This window comes from Homo sapiens, chromosome 5 (assembly GCF_000001405.40).
Source record: "Homo sapiens chromosome 5, GRCh38.p14 Primary Assembly".
Classification (NCBI taxonomy): Eukaryota; Metazoa; Chordata; class Mammalia; order Primates; family Hominidae; genus Homo; species Homo sapiens.
The window spans coordinates 108,196,913-108,215,951 of record NC_000005.10 but is presented as its reverse complement, the minus strand read 5'-3'; the positions used below and the strand labels follow the sequence as shown (position 1 = coordinate 108,215,951).

At 36.7% G+C, this 19,039-nt stretch overlaps 1 protein-coding gene across 7 annotated transcripts in view, besides 2 other annotated features; it reads left to right on the top strand.

The window, feature by feature from the left end:
- The window catches only part of FBXL17 (F-box and leucine rich repeat protein 17), a 523,064-nt gene that overhangs the window by 166,147 nt on the left and 337,878 nt on the right, over nucleotides 1–19,039 (top strand). The gene's annotated exons all lie outside the window — the stretch shown is intronic.
- Nucleotides 2,023–2,856: an enhancer, noted in NCBI's record as "NANOG-H3K27ac-H3K4me1 hESC enhancer chr5:107548797-107549630 (GRCh37/hg19 assembly coordinates)". NCBI's record gives its function as "activates a minimal SCP1, AML or CMV promoter by ChIP-STARR-seq in naive H9 embryonic stem cells {active_cell/tissue: H9 hESC(naive)}" and the evidence as "EXISTENCE:reporter gene assay evidence [ECO:0000049][PMID:30033119]".
- Nucleotides 2,857–3,690: an enhancer, noted in NCBI's record as "NANOG-H3K27ac-H3K4me1 hESC enhancer chr5:107547963-107548796 (GRCh37/hg19 assembly coordinates)". NCBI's record gives its function as "activates a minimal SCP1, AML or CMV promoter by ChIP-STARR-seq in naive H9 embryonic stem cells {active_cell/tissue: H9 hESC(naive)}" and the evidence as "EXISTENCE:reporter gene assay evidence [ECO:0000049][PMID:30033119]".

Below are 19,039 nucleotides of genomic sequence, written 5' to 3'. Positions count from 1 at the left end.
CTTAAGCACATGGTGCAAGGATATCTGGATATCCGTATCCAAAAGAGTGAAACTAGACCTCTACCTCAGACCATATATAAAAATTAACTATAACATGGTTCAAAGACCTAAATGTAGGAGTTAAAACTATGAAACATGTAGAAGAAAACATGGGAGAAATCTTCATGACCTTGAATTCAGTAATGGATTCTTAGATATGACACCAAAAGCATGAGCAACAGAAGAAAAAAAAGGTAAATTGTACTTTATCACAATTAAAAATTCAAAGGATACTCTCAAGAAATTGAAGAGGCAATCGACAGAATAAGAAAAAATATTTGCAAATCACATATCTGGTAAGTGTCTTGAATATATAAATAACTCATATCTTAGCAACAAAAAGACAGCCTAATTTTTTTAAATGTGCAAAAGACTTGAATAGATATTTCTCCAGAGAAGATATACTTGGCTGCCAAGCACATGAAAAGCTGCTCAACATTATTAGTTATGCAAATGACTGGGAAATGCAAATCGGAAACCCCAGTGAGGTACAGCTTCACACCTACTAGGATGGTTGTAATAAAAAAAGTGGACAACAGCAAGTGTTGACAAAGAAGTGGAGAAATTAGAACCCTTGTACATTAATGGTGGGGATATAAAATTATGCAGTTGCTATGGAAAACAGATTGGCAGTTCCTCACAAGTTTAAATACAGAATTACCATATGATCCAGAAATTTCAATCCTAAGTATAGAATCAAAATAATTAAAAACAGGATTCAAAGAGAAACTTGTACATGAATGCCCATAGCAGCAACATACACAACAGCTAAAATGTGGAAACAATGTAAATGCCTATCATCTCATGTATGTATAAGCAGAATGTGGTATATTCATACAGAGGAATATTATTCAGCCATGAAAAAGAATGATGTTCTGAAATATGCTATAATATGGCTGTAACATGGCCTTGGAAGCATTATGATAAAGAGGATAGCTACAAAGGCTATTTTTCTATATGATTTGTTTATATGAAATGTCCAGAATATGCCCATTTATACTGGGTTTCTTTTCAGTCTAATGAGAATGTTCTGAAATTAGATATTGGTGATGGTTGCACACGTCACTCAATGTACTAAAAACCATTGAACTGTACAATTTATGAGGATGACTTTTGTAGGAAATAAATTTTATATCAATAAAAAAGTTCTAGAAGAACAGATAGGAGAAAACTTTTGTGATCTTGGGTTAGACAAAGATTTCTAAAATAGGATACCAAAAGCCTGATCAAAATTAATAAATCGGGCCAGGTGCGGTGGCTCGTGCCTGTAATCCCAGCAGTTTGGGAGGTCGAGGTGGGCAGATCACGAGGTCAGGAGTTTGAGACCAGCATGGCCAATATGGTGAAATGCTGTCTCTACTAAAAATATTTAAAAAAATTAGCTGGGTGCAGTGGCATGTGCCTCTTGTCCCAGTTACTCGGGAGGCTGAGGCAGGAGAATCTCTTGAACCCGGGAGGTGGAGGTTGCAGTGAGCCAAGATTGAGCCACTGCATTCTGGCCTGGGCGACAGAGTGAGACTCTGTCTCAAAAAAAAAAAAAAAAAGTCAATTAATAAATTTACTAATTAATAAATTACACTTTATGAAAATTAAAATATTCTACTCTTTGACATATACAGTAATTCCCCCTTATCCTCGTGGGATATATTCCACAACCCCCAGTGGATGCCTTAAACCATGGATAGTACCAAGCCTTTTGTATGCTATGATTTTTCTTAGCCATTCATACCTATGATAAAGTTTAATTCATCAACTAGGCACAATATGAGATTAATAACAATAACTAATAATAAAATAGAACAATTATAACAATATGTTGTTATAAAAGTGATGTGAGTGTGGTCTCCCCACCCCTTCAAAGTATCTTCTGGAACTGTACCTTGGGTAACTGGTACCACTCGTGGAAAGTGAAACTGCAGATAAGGGAGAGGGACTCCTGTATTGTTAAGGAGACAAGCCCCAGATTGGGAAAAATAATTGAAAACTGTATATCTGATAAACTATGTCTAGAATATATTAAGAACTGTCAAAACTAAGTAAGAAAATAAGCACATGAAAAGATGTTCAGTAGCATTAGGGATTAGGGACATGCAAATTAAAACTATATTAAAATACCACCACACACGTATTAGATTGGCTAATGTTAAAAACACTTGCCATAGATTGCTGGCAAGATGGCTGAATAGGAACAGCTCTGGTCTGCAGCTCCCAGCGAAAATGATAGAGAAGGCAGGTGATTTCTGCATTTCCAACTGAGGTACCCGGTTCATCTCACTGGGACTGGTTGGACAGTGGCTGCAGCCCATGGAGGGCAAGCTGAAGCAGGGTGGGGCATTGCCTCACCCAGGAAGCGCAAGGGATTGGGGAATTTTCTCCCCTACCCAGCGGAAGCCATGAGAGTCTGAGCCTGAGGAACTCCAGCACAGATACTGCGCTTGTCCCATGGTCTTTGCAATCTGCAAACCAGGAGATTCCCTGCGGTGCCTATGCCACCAGGGCTCTGGGTTTCAAGCACAAAACTGGGCGGCCATTTGGGCAGACACCGAACTAACTGCAGGAGTTCTTTTTTTCCATGCCTCATTGGGGCCTGGAACACCAGCAAGACAGAACCATTCACTCCCCTGGAAAGGGGTGCTGAAGCCAGGGAGCCAAGTGGTCTGGCTTGGTGGGTCCCACTCCCATGGAGCCCAGCAAACTAAGATCCCCTGACTTGAAATTCTCACTGTCAGCACAGCAGCAGCCTGCTGTGGCTCAAGCTCGGTAGGGGGAGGGTCACCTGCCATTGCTGAGGCTTGAGTAGGCGGTTTTAAGCTCACAGTGTAAACAAAGCCACTGAGAAGTTCCAACTGGGTGGAGCCCAGTGCAGCTCAGCATGGCCTCTCTAGATTCCTCTTCTCTGGGCAGGGCATCTCTGAAAAAAAAGACAACAGTTCCTGTCAGGGACATATAGATAAAACCCCTATCTTCCTGGGACAGAGCACCTGGAGAAAGGAGCAATTGTGGGTGAAGATTCAGCAGACTTAAATGTTCCTGCCTGACAGCTCTGAAAAGAGCAGCGTACCTCCCAGCACAGCATTCAACCTCTGCTAAGGATCAGACTGCCTCTTCAAGTGGGTCCCTGACTCCTGTGTATCCTGACTGGGAGACACCTCCCACTAGGGGCTGACAGACATCTCACACAGGAGAGCTCTGGCTGGCATCTGGCAGGTGCCCCTCTGGGACGAAGCTTCCTGAGGAAAGATCAGGCGGCAATCTTTGCTGTTCTGCAGCCTCTGCTGGTGATATCCAGGCAAACAGGGTCAGGGGTGGACCACCAGCAGACTCCAGCAGACAGCAGCAGAGGGGCCTGACTGTCAGAAGGAAAACTAAGAAACAGAAAGGAAGAGCATGTCGACTCAAAGACCCCATTCAGAGGTCACGAAAATCAATGAGCAAAGGTAGGTAAATCACAAAGATGGGGAGAAACCAGCACAAAAAGGCTGAAAATTCCAAAAACCAGAAAGCCTCTTCTCCTCCAAAGGATCACAACTCCTCGCCAGCAAGAGAACAAAACTGGATGGAGAATGAGTTTGACGAATTGACAGAAGTAGGCTTCAGAAGGCTGGTAATAACAAACTCTTCCGAGCTAAAGGAGCAGGTTCTAACTTAATGCAAGGAAGCTAAGAACCTTGAAAAAAGGTTAGACGAATCGCTAACTGGAATAGAATAACCAGTGTAGAGAAGAATGTAAATGACCTGCTGGAGCTGAAAAACACAGTATGAGAACTTCATGAAGCATACGCAAGTTTCAATAGCTGAACTGATCAAGTGGAAGAAAGGATATCATTGATTGAAGATCAACTTAATGAAAGAAAGAGAGAAGACAATATTAGAGAAAAGAATAAAAAGGAACGAACAAAGGAACAAGAAATATGGGACTGTGTGAAAAGACCAAATCTATGTTTGATTGATGTACCTGAAGGTGATGGGGAGAATGAAACCAAGTTGGAAAACACTCTTCAGGATATTATCCAGGAGAACTTCCCCAACCTAGCAAGACAGACCAACATGCAAATTCAGGAAATACAGAGAACACCACAAAGATACTCCTCGAGAAGGGCAACCCCAAGACACATAATCATCAGATTCACCAAGGTTGAAATGAAGGAAAAAATGTTAAGGGCAGCCAGAGAGAAAGGTTGGGTTACCCACAAAGGGAAGCCCATCAGACTTAACAGGGGATCTTTCTGTAGAAATCCTACAAGCCAGAAGAGAGTGGGGGCCAATATTCAACATTCTTAAAGAAAAGAATTTTCAACCCAGAATTTCATATCCAGCCAAACTAAGCTTCATAAGCAAAGGAGAAATAAAGTCCTTTACAGACAAGCAAATGCTGAGAGATTTTGTCACCACCAGGCCTGCGTTACAACAGCTCCTGAAAGAAGCACTAAACATGGAAAGGAGAAACCAGTACCAGCCACTGCAGAAACATACCAAATTGTAAAGAACATCGATACTATGAAGAAACTCCATCAACTAACGAGCAAAAGAACCAGCTAGCATCATAATGACAGGATCGAATTCACACATAACAGTATTAACCTTAAATTTAAACTGGCTAAATGCCCCAATTAAAAGACACAGACTGGCAAATTGGATAAAGAGTCAAGACCCATCAGTGTGCTGTATTCAGGAGACCCATCTCACGTGCAAAGACACACATAGGCTCAAAATAAAGGGAAGGGATGGAGGAATATTTACCAAGCAAATGGAAAACCAAAACAAAAACAAAAAAGCAGGAGTTGCAATAGTAATCTCTGATAAAACAGACTTTAAACCAACAAAGATCAAAAGAGACAAAGAAGGGCATTGCATAATGGTAAAGGGACCAATGGAACAAGAAGAGCTAACCATCCTAAATATATATGCACCCAATACAGGAGCACCTAGATTCATAAAGCAAGTCTTAGAGACCTACAAGGAGACTTAGACTCCCACACAATAATAGTGGGAGACTTTAACACCCCACTGTCAATATTAGACAGATCAATGAGACAGAAAATTTACAAGGATACTCAGAACTTGAACTCAGCTCTGGACCAAGAGGACCTAATGGACATCTACAGAACTCTCCACCCCAAATCAACAGAATATACATTCTTCTCAGCACCTCACTGCACTTATTCTAAAATTGACCACGTAATTGGAAGTAAAACACTCCTCAGCAAATGCAAAAGAGCAGAAATCATAACAAAGAGTCTCTCACACCACAGTGCAATCAAATTAGAACTCACGATTAAGAGACTCACTCAAAACCGCACAACTACATGGAAACTGAACAACCTGCTTCTGAATGACTACTGGGTAAATAATAAAATGAAGGGAGAAATAAAGATGTTCTTTGAAACCAATGAGAATGAAGACACAACATACCAGAATCTCTAGGACACATTTAAAGCAGTGTGTAGAGGGAAGTTTATAGCACTAAATACTCACAAGAGAAAGCAGGAAAGATCTAAAATTGACACCCTAACATCAAAATTAGTAGAACTAGAGAAGCATCAGCAAACAAATTCAAAGTCTAGTAGAAGACAAGAAATAACCAAGATCAGAGCAGAGCTGTAGGAGATAGAGACATGAAAAAACCTTCAAAAAATCAATGAATCCAGGAGCTGGTTTTTTGAAAAGATCAACAAAATAGATAGACCACAAGCCAGAATAATAAAGAAAAAAGAGAGAAGGATCAAATAGATGCAATAAAAAATGATATAGGGAATATCAACACTGATCCCACAGAAATACAAACTACCATCAGAGAATACTATAAACACCTCTATGCAAATAAACTAGAAAATCTGGAAGAAATGGATACATTCCTGGACACATACACCCTCCCAAGTCTAAATGAGGAAGAAATTGAATTCCTGAATAAACCAGTAACAAGTTCTGAAATTGAGGCAGTAATTAATAGTCTGCCAACCAAAAAAAAGTCTGGGACCAGACGGATTCACAGCAGCATTCTACCAGAAGTACAAAGAGGAGCTGGTACCATTTCCTCTGAAACTATTCCAAACAATAGAAAAAGAGGGAATCCTCCTTAACTCATTTTATGTGGCCAGCATCATCCTGTTACCAAAACCTGGTAGTGACACAATAAAAAAAGAAAATTTTAGGCCAGTATCCCTGATTAACATTGATTCGAAAATCCTCAATAAAATACTGGCAAACCGAATTCAACAGCACATCAAAAAGCTTATCCACTATGATCAAGTCGGCTTCACTCCTTGGATGCAAGCCTGGTTCAACATAAGAAAATCAATAAATGTAATTCATCACATAAACAGAACCAATGACAGAAAACACATGATTATCTCAATAGATGCAGAAAAGGCCTTCGACAAAATTCAACACCCCTTCATGTTAAAAACTTTCAAAAAACTAGGTATCGATGGAACATATCTCAAAATAATAAGAGTTATTTATGACAAACCCACAGTGAGTATCATACTGAATGGGCAAAAAGTGGAAGCATTCCCTTTGAAAACCGGCACCAGACAAGGATGCCCTCTCTCACCACTCCTCTTCAACATAGTATTGGAAGTTCTGGCCAGGACAATCAGGCAAGAGAAAGAAATAGAGTATTCAGATAGGAAGAGAGGAAGTCAAATTGTCTCTTTTTGAAGATGACATGATTATGTATTTAGAAAACCCCATCATCTCAGCCCAAAATCTCCTTAAGCTGATAAGCAAGTTCAGCAAAGTCTCAGGATACAAAATCAATGTGCAAAAATCACAAGCATTCCTATACACCAATAACAGACTAACAGAGAGCCAAATAATGAGTGAACTCACATTCGCAATTGCTACAAAGATAATAAAATACCTAGGAATACAACTTACAAGGGATATGAAGGACCTCTTCAAGGAGAACTACAAACCACTGCTCAAGAAAATAACAGAGGACACAAACAAATGGAAAAGCATTCCATGCTCATGGATAGGAAGAATCAATATCATGAAAATGGCCATACTGCCCAAAGTAATTGATAGATTCAAAGCTATCCCCATGAAGCTGCCACTGACTTTCTTCACATAATTGGAAAAAACTACTTTAAAATTTATATGGAACCAAAAAAGAGCCCTTATAGCCATGACAGTCCTGTGCAAGAAGAACAAAGCTGGAGGCATCATGCTACCTGACTGCAAACTATACTATAAGGGTACAGTAACCAAAACAGCATGGTACTGGTACCAAAACAGATACATAGACCAGTGGAACAGAACAGAGACCTAAGAAATAACACCACGTATCTACAACCATCTGATCTTTGACAAACCTGACAGAAACAAGCAATGAGGAAAAGACTCCCTATTTAAGAAATGGTGTTGTGAGAACTGCACAACATATGCAGAAAACTGAAACTGGACCCTTTGCTTACACCTTATACAAAAATCAACTCAAGATGGGTGAAAGACTTAAACGTAAGACCTAGGTCCATAAAAATCCTAGAGGAAAACCTGGGCAATACCATTCAGGGCATAGGCATGGGCAAAGACTTCATCTCTAAAACACCAAAAGCAATGGCAACAAAAGCCAAAATAGACAAATGGGATTTAATTAAACTAAAGAGCTTCTGCACAGTGAAAGAAATTATCATCAGAGTGAACAGACCCTACAGAATGGGAGAAGATTTTTGCAATCTATCCATCTGACAAAGGGTTAATATCCAGAATCTACAAAGAACTTAAACAAATTTACAAGAAAAGAACAACTCCATCAAAAAGTGGGCAAATAATATGAGCAGACACTTCTCAAAGGAGACATTTATGCAGTCAACAGACATATGAAAAAAATGCTCATCATCACTGGTCATTAGAGAAATGTAAATCAAAACCACAATGAGATACCTCCTCACACCAGATCATTAATGGCAATCATTAAAAAGTCAGGAAACAACAGATGCTAGAGAGGATGTGGAGAAATAGGGACACTTACAACACTCGGTAGGAGTGTTGTTCAACTATTGTGGAAGACTGTGGTGATTCCTTAAGGATCTAGAACTAGAAATACCATTTGACCCAGCAATCCCATTACTGGGTATATACCCAAAGGATTATAAATCATTCTACTATAAAGACACATGCACACGTATGTTTATTGCAGCACTATTCACAATAGCAAAGACTTGGAACCAACCCAAATGTCCATCAATAATATACTGGATAAAGAAAATGTGGCACATATACACCATGGAGAACTATGCAGCCATAAAAAGATGAGTTCATGTCCTTTGCAGGGTCATGGAGGAAACTGCAAACCATCATTCTCAGCAAACTATGACAAGAAAACCAATCACTGCATGTTCTCACTCGTAAGTGGGAGTTGAACAATGAGAACACATGGACATAGGGAGGGGAGCATCACACTCCGGGGCCTGTTGGGGGCTGGGGTGCTAGGGAAGGGATAACATTAGGAGAAATACCTAATGTAGGTGATGGGTTGATGGGTGCAGGAAACCACCATGGTATGTGTATACCTATGTAACAAAACTGCACGTTCTGCCATACGTACCCCAGAACTTAAAGTATAATAAAAAAAAAACACTTGCATATCAATTGTTGGTGAGAATTTAGAGAAACCAGAACCATCTATTAATTCAACAGCTTAGATGAATGGAAATTTCATGCAAATTAAGGAGAGAGTCCCTTTTCCCTTATCTGCAGTTTCACTTTCCATGGGTGGTATCAGTTACCCAAAGTACAAAACAAGAAGATATTTTGAGGGGGTCGGGGAGACCACATTCACATCACTTTTATTACAGCATATTGTTATAATTGTTCTATTTTATTATTAGTTATTGTTATTAATCTCATGCCTAACTGATGAATTAAACTGTATCATAGGTATGTGGTCCAGTTACACATACTTGTGGTCCAATTTTACACATTGTGAGAATGTAAAATGGTCCAAAGTGTTTACTTTGGTAAACACTTTAGTAATTTCTAAAACTGTTAAATGTGTACCTGCTATATGATACAGTCATTTCACGACTCGGTATTTACTCAAGATCAATGAAAGCACAGGTACATGCAAAGACATGGATCCATATAGCAGCTTTATTAGAAACAGTCCCAAACTTAAAACCACCCAAATGTCTGTCAGTTGGTGTATGTATAAACAATCTGGTATATTTATACAATGGAATACCACACAGGGTGTTAAAGGAATGAATTACTGATACATACTATCACATGGATTAATCTCAAAATAATTTTGCTGAGTATAACAAGCCAGATAAAAAAAAGAGTTCTGTTTCATCTGTGAAATTCTAAGAAATGCAAATGATTGTCAAGTTACAAAGAGCCCACCAGTAAGGGAGGGGAGGGAGGAGAGAGGAACAAAAAGGAAGGAGTACAATGGAGCATGTGACGACTTTGGGGGATGACATATATTATGTTGGTTGTGGTAAATATTTCATGGTGCATATGTCAAAACTTACCAAATTATACATTTTAAATATGTATGTGCAGTCTTTGGTATGTCAGTTTTTCTTCAGTAAAGATGTTTTTAAAGAAAAGCGCATTGGTCATCTTTGGAACTTAATAAGGCAGCAGTTTATTACTCTAAAAATGAGTAAACAAAATGAGAATCACATATTTATCCTTTTTTTCTTATAGGAATTACAAAAAAGTAAACACATAATTCATAAGGGAAAGTTCTTCTGAATAGGATTCTAGTGACAAATGAAAAGAGGAATGATAGAATTAGAAAATTATAATTTTGCAGTTATCTTGAAATAATGGACCGAGGCAATGATCATCATCAATGAAAGCAAAAGCGATTATATGTGGATTGATATTCCCATGTAGGAATATCATAATGGAGGGAAGAAGTTGATAGCATTTAACTCACTGATCAATCTTAGCATGAAGAAAAGTGAGACAGCAGACCTTAAGTACTCTTGAGGTGATGCAGTAGAGAGTACACAGCATCATTTATATAGTATTCTTGCTACTAAATATACAAAAATTAGCCAGGCAGGGTGGGGAGTGACTGTAATCCCATCTACTCGGAAGGCTGAGGCACAAGAATTGCTTGAAACCCGGGACCGGGAGGCAGAAGTTGCAGTGAGCTGAGATCATGCCACTCACTGCACTTTAGCCTGGGTGACAGAGCGAGACTCTGTCTAAAAAACAAAACAAAACAAAAAGCCTGAATCTAATCTGCCTCTGTATTTACCTATTTACAGGAAATAGTAGGATTAAAGCATCATGTTAAATAATACCACAAAAAGACAATCAGCTAAATCTAGATTTGTCTAACGCAAATGACCCAGTTTCTCTAAGGAAAAAACATTGTAGAAAAGAAAGAGAGACATTTTTATAGAAAACACTCAAGACAAAACAACTAAATGTGATGTGGAGATTTTGCTTGAATCCTGACAGTAACAAAACAACATTAAAATATATATCCTTGAGATTATTGAGAAAACTTGAATGTGAAGTGGTCATTGAATGATAACAAAGTATTATTGTTAGTTTTGTCAAGAATGATAGTGGTATGCTTGTTAAATTTTTATCAGTAAGAGACACATACTTTATTTACTGGTAAAATGACACAGTATTAGGGATTTGGTTTAAAATATTACAAAGGGACTAAAAACAAGAAAAAGATAAAAGTGCATAGGCCAATAAAGGAAACAAAAATCGTGAAAATATTGGGCCAGCAATGTAGTTTTGTGCCCGTAATCTCAGATGCTTGGCATGCTGAAGCGGGAGGATGGCTTGTATGATAATAAAGGATGTGACTTTTAGAGACAGGGTAACAAACCCTGTTTCTAAAAAAAAAATTAGAAATTAGCTGGGCATGGTGGCACATGCTATGGTCCTAGCTGCTTGGAAGGCTGAAATGAGGGGATCTTTTGAGCCCAAGAGTTAGAGTCTGCAGTAAGTTTCGATCACACCACTGTGCTCCAGCTTGGGCAACAGAATGTGACCCTGTTTCTGAAAGAAAAAAAAATGCAAAATATTGATAATCGAGCTAGGTTTTAAGACATGAAGGTTTATTATACCTTCTCAATACTTTTGTTTATATATGAAAATTTCCATAATGATTAAAAAACTTTTAAGGGGTAAAAAAATTAAAAATGTTGATGTTAGTCTAACATGATAAAATTGTACTATTCAATATTATACTTTTCAAGAATACGTAATGACATGGAAAATGCTTAGGATAATATGTATTAACATATATTATTTTATATGTTGAATAGGCTACCTGTAGAGTCTGAAATGCCAAAAATGGCAAGTTATTTTTACATGTAGTTCAAAGGCAAGCCTTAGAAATGCTGTAACTTCATCAATATAATGTCACAAATCTCTTGTGTGTTTATTTATATCAAATCAGTACAAATGATTTCAATCAGTAGTCAAGAAGACCTTTTTTTAGGGTGGGTGTGTTGGCTCATGCCTGTAATCCTAGTACTTTGGGATGCTGAGGTGAGAGGATTCCTTGAGGCCAGGAGTTCAAGACCAGCCTGGGCTATTAATATAGTAAGACCCATCTCTACAAAAAATTAGCTGGGTTTGGTGGTGTATGCCTGTATTCCCAGCTACTCTGGAGGCTTGAGGTGGGTGGATTGCTTGAGCCCAGGAATTTGAGGCTACTGTGAGCCATGATCATGCCACTGCAATCAGCGAGATCCTATCTCTGAAAGGAAAAAAGAAAAAAGAAAAGACCTTATATTAAATAACTATTAAGATGGTAGAGAATTTTTATTTATATTTATAATATTTATTTATCAACAGCTTACAAACATTAACCGAGTATTTGGGATGTGTTGCGTATGGGTTTGGTTGAGTTTTGTTTTATATTGTTTTTTAAAAACAGAGTTCCTTAGGAAGGTAACAGACAGCTAGATAAAACTTTTGATATTTTCTTGTATCATAATCACATTTAAAGAACTTCAAGAAAAGCACATATTTTAAAAGTGCTTATGGTTGGAAATGTTAAATGTTTTTAAAGGAAAACAAAATTGATTTTTTCAGTTGATTTAACATAAGTAACTGAAAGAATGTTCATTCATGCAGCTAACTCAATTTTCATCCTCCTTTTTTTGTTTATTCAGAGACTAGAAATGAAAAATTAACTTTCTTGCCTTTTAAATTTTCAAACAATCGATTGGTTTAGATTGCCTTACTCTACAGAAAGAACACACTGTTTTACTACTTAAATGGTAATATTGCTGCTTTGTCATAGGTTATCATTTCATTTGTTTCTGATTAATTATAGGTGCTTGAGTGATATTCTGAGATGTAAAAAATATGTTCTTAAATTCATTCAGCTCTGAAATATTCCCTAATGAATATGACCTAGTGAGTACTGTATTATGAAAGGGTTTTTTTGGATGACCATGCTTTTGCTACTTTTTAGCTTTTTAGCAGTTAAGAGTTGAGCCAAAAATCAAGTGTTGAGAATATAAGCTTTGATTATCTAGGCCTGATGTGATCCATTAATTGATATTTTTTTCTTAGAAGTTTGCCAAGGCCAGCAACGCATTTATTGCAGTCAACAAAGCTAATTGTATGATTACTGATTGTATGACCTAGGACAAATCACCTAATCTCTCTGCCTCAGTTTCCTCATCTGTAAAAGAAGGATAGTAATACCATCTACCTGCCTCTAGGGATGCATGAGGAAGAGTTCTTGGCACATAACTAAAGAAGTGGTTGAACAATGAAAAAAAAAAGCTAATTAAAAAATATTCATCATGATGTACGAAAGTTCCTCATAACTTGTTAGTCCTGACATACTTATGTTCTTTCATTAACATAAGATACAATAATTTTATGAAAATAAAACTTACTTAAAAACTTTATGACCTTTTTTCTACCTGAGTGTCAGTGCTGAATGTTAAGATTAATAACTATGTTTGTTTACTCTTTGTTGTATAATTTTTTTCTTTTCCTGCTGACCCATTAAAGGTTGCTTAATTATTTAAGTTAAACGCACTGTGTAACTAAAATAGTATTTTTTAAAAAGCATTTAAAAAACTCGTACTATAGCAATACACTGAATAAGGGGATCCAGTAGATCCCACCATCTGCTGTTTCATTTTCCCAGGTGTCAGTTACCTGCAGTCAACCACAGGCCGAAACTGTTAGATGATAAATTTCAGACATAAACACTTAGTAAGTGTTAAATTGCAGCTGTTCTAAGTAGTGTTGAAATCTTGCACTGTCCCACTCCCTCCTGCCAGGGCTATGAATCGTCTTTGTCCAGCATATCCATCCTATATATGCTACCTACCTGTTACTATATAGGAAAAAATATAGTATAGATAGAGTTCTGTATTATTCTCAGTTTCAGGCATCCCCTGGGAGTCTTGGATTGCATCTCCCTTGGCTAAGGGGAAACTGGGATATACTCTTCTACCTTATTATTACTGCCCAAATTAGTGACTTTGATGTTTTCATAAATTAGTATAGACAACATCTACATAAGCAATAGAAACTTACCACTTTTATTTTTTCATGCTGTTTAGTCAGTAATACCTGATCAGTGAGGGTACTCTTTTATAACTCTATTACTTACACTCTAGTTGTAATGTGTATTTGTTTGTGCTACATTTTCATTTCAGCAACTTCAATGGTAATAGGTATCAGTATCACACTAGTAAAATAAATGAATTCATCTTTCAAATGACTCAGTTTATAAAAGTCCTAACAAATAAAGTGAGTCGATAAGTTTCTTTGTGGCATCTGTCTTTTGATAAAATGGTTGCTTCAGGCTTTAACATAAACATATAAATATAAAATGAAGAGAATTGGCAATTGTTTTTGAAAGAGCCTTTCTTGGATCATGGCTTTATATTTTAAATATTATTTTGCTTTGCTTATATTATCCTCAGTCCACTCTGAATGTTTATCACACACTTGTTTGTAAATTGTGGTTTTTGTTGAAAATACTCTTGTAAAAAGGATATCAACTCTATTTTATCTGGTCTCTAACACATGAGGTCAGTCTTTATCCAAGAAAGAGATTATGAGCTGTTGCTTTCATTTTTTTTTTTTTTTTTTTACTTTCAAATTCATTCACAGTGTTTTGTGGCAGAAATTTTATTTAAGGATCAGTGTCACTCTACTTCCCCTAGTCTTGTGGTTTATACATAAAGAGTGATATTGAACATGGAAGGGGTCCCATTTCTAAATCAGCAGAACAGACTGCCCGAATTAGAGAAACCAGGTTTGGAGCTTAATGAGAATAAATTAATGATTTAATTTAATGAGAAAATATACTACTGAGAAAAAAATAAGCATATCTCATTTATTAACTTGAAGTAAGCATGTATTGAGAATTACAGAGTTAAATATAATCCAATTTATTTTAAAAACATTAATTTAAAACATTTATTAAAAACATTAATAGTTATAGGCAATTGCTTTGTACATGTATAAAATACTTAACTGTATTTTATTTTTAATTAATTAAACTATCTTATTTCAGAACCATTTTTACTGCACCTGGGCAGATCTTGTCTACCACAATCAGCCACAGGGAAGTACCTGTGTCTATACATATTGTTTATTCATTTACATGCATACTTCAACACAGTACATACATTCACACTGCGCCAGTTGTTAATCATAGCTAATCCAAAGAATCTATGTATTATCTTTTTCTTTGCAATTTTGTTTAATGTTGTGTGAAGTCTATACTGATGAACGAAAGTGTTCTCCATGATTCTAAAGGGGCTCCTGGATATTGAAAGCAAGATAAATTATGTTGTGTCTTTATTGTAGTTGCATTCTTTAAATATAGGGAATTCATTTTCATAGTAATTCCCTGTTATTAATCGTTAGAAGTTAGTTATTTATGAGACAGTAGAGTGTTGTAAAATTTTAGCTTGGAACCTCAACATTTTAGCAGAATTTGGGCTTACATGTTATTACTCATTATTTTCTCTAATAATTTTGGGATTAGAGTTTGGTTTTGAGATCCCGCTTCTCTAGACACACTTGCCCAGTAATAGAGTCCAATAGAGTACATTGACTAAAGGCAATTGAGCTCTTCACATGTTTGCTCTCTAGCCCAGACGTATTACAGGCATTTACACAAAAGCTGTTGATCACAGTGTATTTACAAAACCTTCAGGAGCATAGCTGCTTCCCCCACTGTAGACTTCTGTTCAATTGATTGTATCCCAGTGGGATGATTGGCCATCAATTTTTTTTTTTTTTTCAAGAAAAAGCTTCCCACTGGAACTTTCTCTGTTACATTCACCAGAGGAAATGCTTGGTTATTGTGTTTTATCAGAGGCCCTTTTGAACATGCAATTGACTATCAATCTTGAATCTTTAACAGTGAAACAATATTCCTGTGTCTAAGAAAGCAGCTTTCATCTGGCTCAAAGAAGAAAACAAACTTGGTCAGCACTGTGGGTTTCTCAGGCAAAGTACAGGAATACTCTGGCAATCATTCCTGTTTCTGGATTGTTATAAAGAACTCCCGTTAGAGTGACTTTGTTTCTTTTAATTGCTGGAAACCTGTGCCCCCCTTCCTCCTTCTTTTCTTTTGCTTCATGCTGCTTGCCCTCAGAACCAGGCCTCCTTCCCCTCAGAACCTTTCTTCTCTCTAAGCATGCTCTTCTCTATATATATTCTATGGGGGGCTTAACTTTGCAGGCTGCATTTAGTGGGAGACAGGAATGCCACAGGGAGGCAGAAGCTACAATAAATGTTTTTCTCTCTCTCCTTCTCTAACTCAGGTAGCATTTCTGGCAACACCTCTGTCTCCTCCGTGGTTCCAGCCCTGGACTGATCTGCAGCTCCAACTTGTGTTGGCTGACTGTGGCTTGTGGGTCCCAGTAACACTGACTCTTCCTTTTGTGTCTTCAGCTTTGGGATGCTGAAGGGATCAGCTTCAGTGTCTTCAGCTTTGGGATGCTGAAGGGATCAGCTTCAGTGTCTTCAGCTTTGGGATGCTGGTGGTTTCCTGCTGTTGCTAAGTTTCTGGCTTACGCTACCATATCCAGTTTGTCTTCTTAGCTGCTCCTTCACCAAAATAACCAATTCCCTTAATGAAATTTCCTTTGTGTAATTTCATATTTATAGTAGTTTCTATTTTCCTAATTATACCTTGACCAACACATCTTCCTTTCTGTGTCATTCTGCGTTTCTTTCATGAAATCACATTTAAGACAATAGAAATGATATTTATTTTCTTTAAGAGAATATTGGAACAATTGGCATCAAAGCACAAGCAGAGAATTGAACATAATATAAGATTTAAATTAGACCTGACTCTTTCTTAGACTACCACTAACTCTATACTGCCATCCTGAATCCAGAAAAGCTGTAGCTAGAAACGTAAGCTCAGGCAGTTACATGACAATTAAGACTAATAAAGCTACAAGTTCATGATGAATTCCAAGAATAGGTTGGAGTGCTAGCTGCTTAATTATAGAAAGATCATTTTCACACATGCTTCTAGCAACAACAGAGTTGAAATGTTTTCTCAGTGCTGTAATCTATAATGTCAATCTATAGAAGCAAATGTAAAGAAAAATATTTGACTAAAGAAGTTAACTGTTGTGAACTAGTTATTTGAGTTATTGGTTACTAGTTATTTGAAGCTGTATCTTGGATAGTTTTGATTGACAATTAAAAGACAATTCATGTTATCCTGTCTGTACTTGTTTATTTGTTTTAAAAAAATCTTCGTCATGTTTTTGTATTGGTGTGAGAAGTTATAAGTGACCCAAAGTATGCAATATTAAGGTAAATGATAAGTTGATATTTAAAGTCCTACCTTAGATGTATACTAGATATTGTTATTTTTAATTTTATTTCAATTGGCTGAAGCTTTTGAATTCATAGGTGGTTAAAATTGGTTGAGAGAGCAGTTTTACAGTTGGACATTTCTTTGTTTCAGAAAGTAGTGCTTTATTATATAAATCAAAGTTATAAATTTTTGCACCTCATTTCAAAAATACTTTTATCATCTTTAATAATTTCATATTCCATATTATTTAATATCAAGGAAAACTTTAGAGAGATCTTTCTGATTACCATTTCTTACTGATAACTGATATACTCCCTGTAGCATAGTCATTAACCTAGAATTTTAGCTCATTCACTTCCAGCTTATAACATTGAGTATAATTACAGAAGTCAGGAAGTAAAACTTACTAATTTCAAATTGAAATACTTGGTGGACCAAATGCTGTTGCCTCTTGGAACTGTTTATAGAACAATGTAAAACTAAGTAAAACAAATGTGATCTGATTCAGTGTTTGGGGAGTTCTTGACCTGGATTTCAAATATGAATCCTTACTTGCCCTTTAAAATGTTTGACTCTTCTAAGATTTTTCTCACCTGGAAAGTGTTCATTCCTTCACTATCCATGACAGGTGACTGGGAGCACTTTGGTAATAACCATGAAAAATGAAATCAAGTACAATGCTGAAGATTGTGGAAGAAATACTATTTTTTTCAAATCTGCATAGTTATTTATTTTAGGACCAGAGTCTGTGACTCCTGTTTCACTAGTATGGATGACCCAACTGATTTATTTTTAGATTATTAATATTAGACTTGTGGCTTTCTTTGCAGACTTTGGAGCATGGGTTGGGGGAGAATTATGTATACATTTTGGAATTTTTTATCATAAAAACGACTTAAAATTAGAAGGAGAGAAAGCTGCTGCTGAATGCCTAGGTTATTTAGTTTCTTCCTAGGTGACTTAGAGTGTTCTAGGTCTATGCAGTAAACCTCTTCTACAGAGAGAAGCCATAGGGACCTGTTGACGGGGGCCTCATGGTGTTTCTCCACATATTAGAGAATCCTTTTGTGACAGTGTGGAAGACCCAAAGATTGCAGGTGGCTCAGCTGATGGTTATCATCCTGTGCACTACAGCTTTTTGGCTCAAAAGACGAAAGTTTCTCATCCACTCTTTGAAACAGTATCTGATCACGGGATAGAAAAACTGATTTCTGAAATTAAGGTTTAGGCATTTTTTATTAACTTGGGGTTGAGACCAATAAATGAGAATGTAAGGCCATGAGATTTTCCATGTGAAGGTGAGTCCCAGTTGCATACTGTAAACCAGGAAAAAAAAGATATTTTATTTGAGAGTGTAGATACAACATTTCTGTAACATTTTTGGAATGCCAGAAAATAAAAATATATGACATAACATTCATTAAGTTAAAAATCATTACTATCATTCCTTTGTTTTTCAGCTTAACACATTTAGAAATAATGAGTGAAATGATTTGACTGTATTGCTTTAATAGACAGTACAAGATCAAGAGGCCAGTGTACAGGTCACTTGGCTTGGATATGGTAAGCTTTCGTCTTGGGCTAATGGCATTTTAGTTATTTCACTACTTTAAAAAATAAGATTATAAAACTTTCATTTGGAATATATTTCCAAAACTTTTCACCCTTTGAAGTGTGATCCATGAGTGCAAGTGACTGAAATTGGTTCGAAATTTTGTGAACTGTCTCTTTTTTTTGTAGATCTCTGAACTTGATATGAGGAAATGAAGTATACAACCAGTCCAATTAGTTGAAGCAGTCTTTTCTTGCTTGCATTCACATTTGACTTAATTTACCCTTAATTTACTTAAGCTTTGATTTGTTTTCTTCTTTAAGTGAAACAGTGTGAATATTTTATTTTTTAATTGAAGGGAAATTTTCATTCTTAGCTCCTGCTGGGTAAAAAAGTGACAAGGCTGCTTAGCGCTGCTAACTTTAAGTGCTGTTTGTAGTTTGTTATGAGCTCTAGAAATCTTATGTGGAGGAAAGAAAGAGATTTGGTGGAAAGAAAAGTCCTAGGAAAAAAACTCAATTAGAGACTGTGTGACTGCCAGAGTGAAAGAGGAGGAGCAGAGCATCCATTCTGAATTGGTATATTGAGAAGCAGAAATCCAATTAACAAATTCACATTTCTGCAGCAGCAGACAGTGATTAAAATTTTGGTGAACTACTCAAAATTCCTGCCACATACTTCAAACT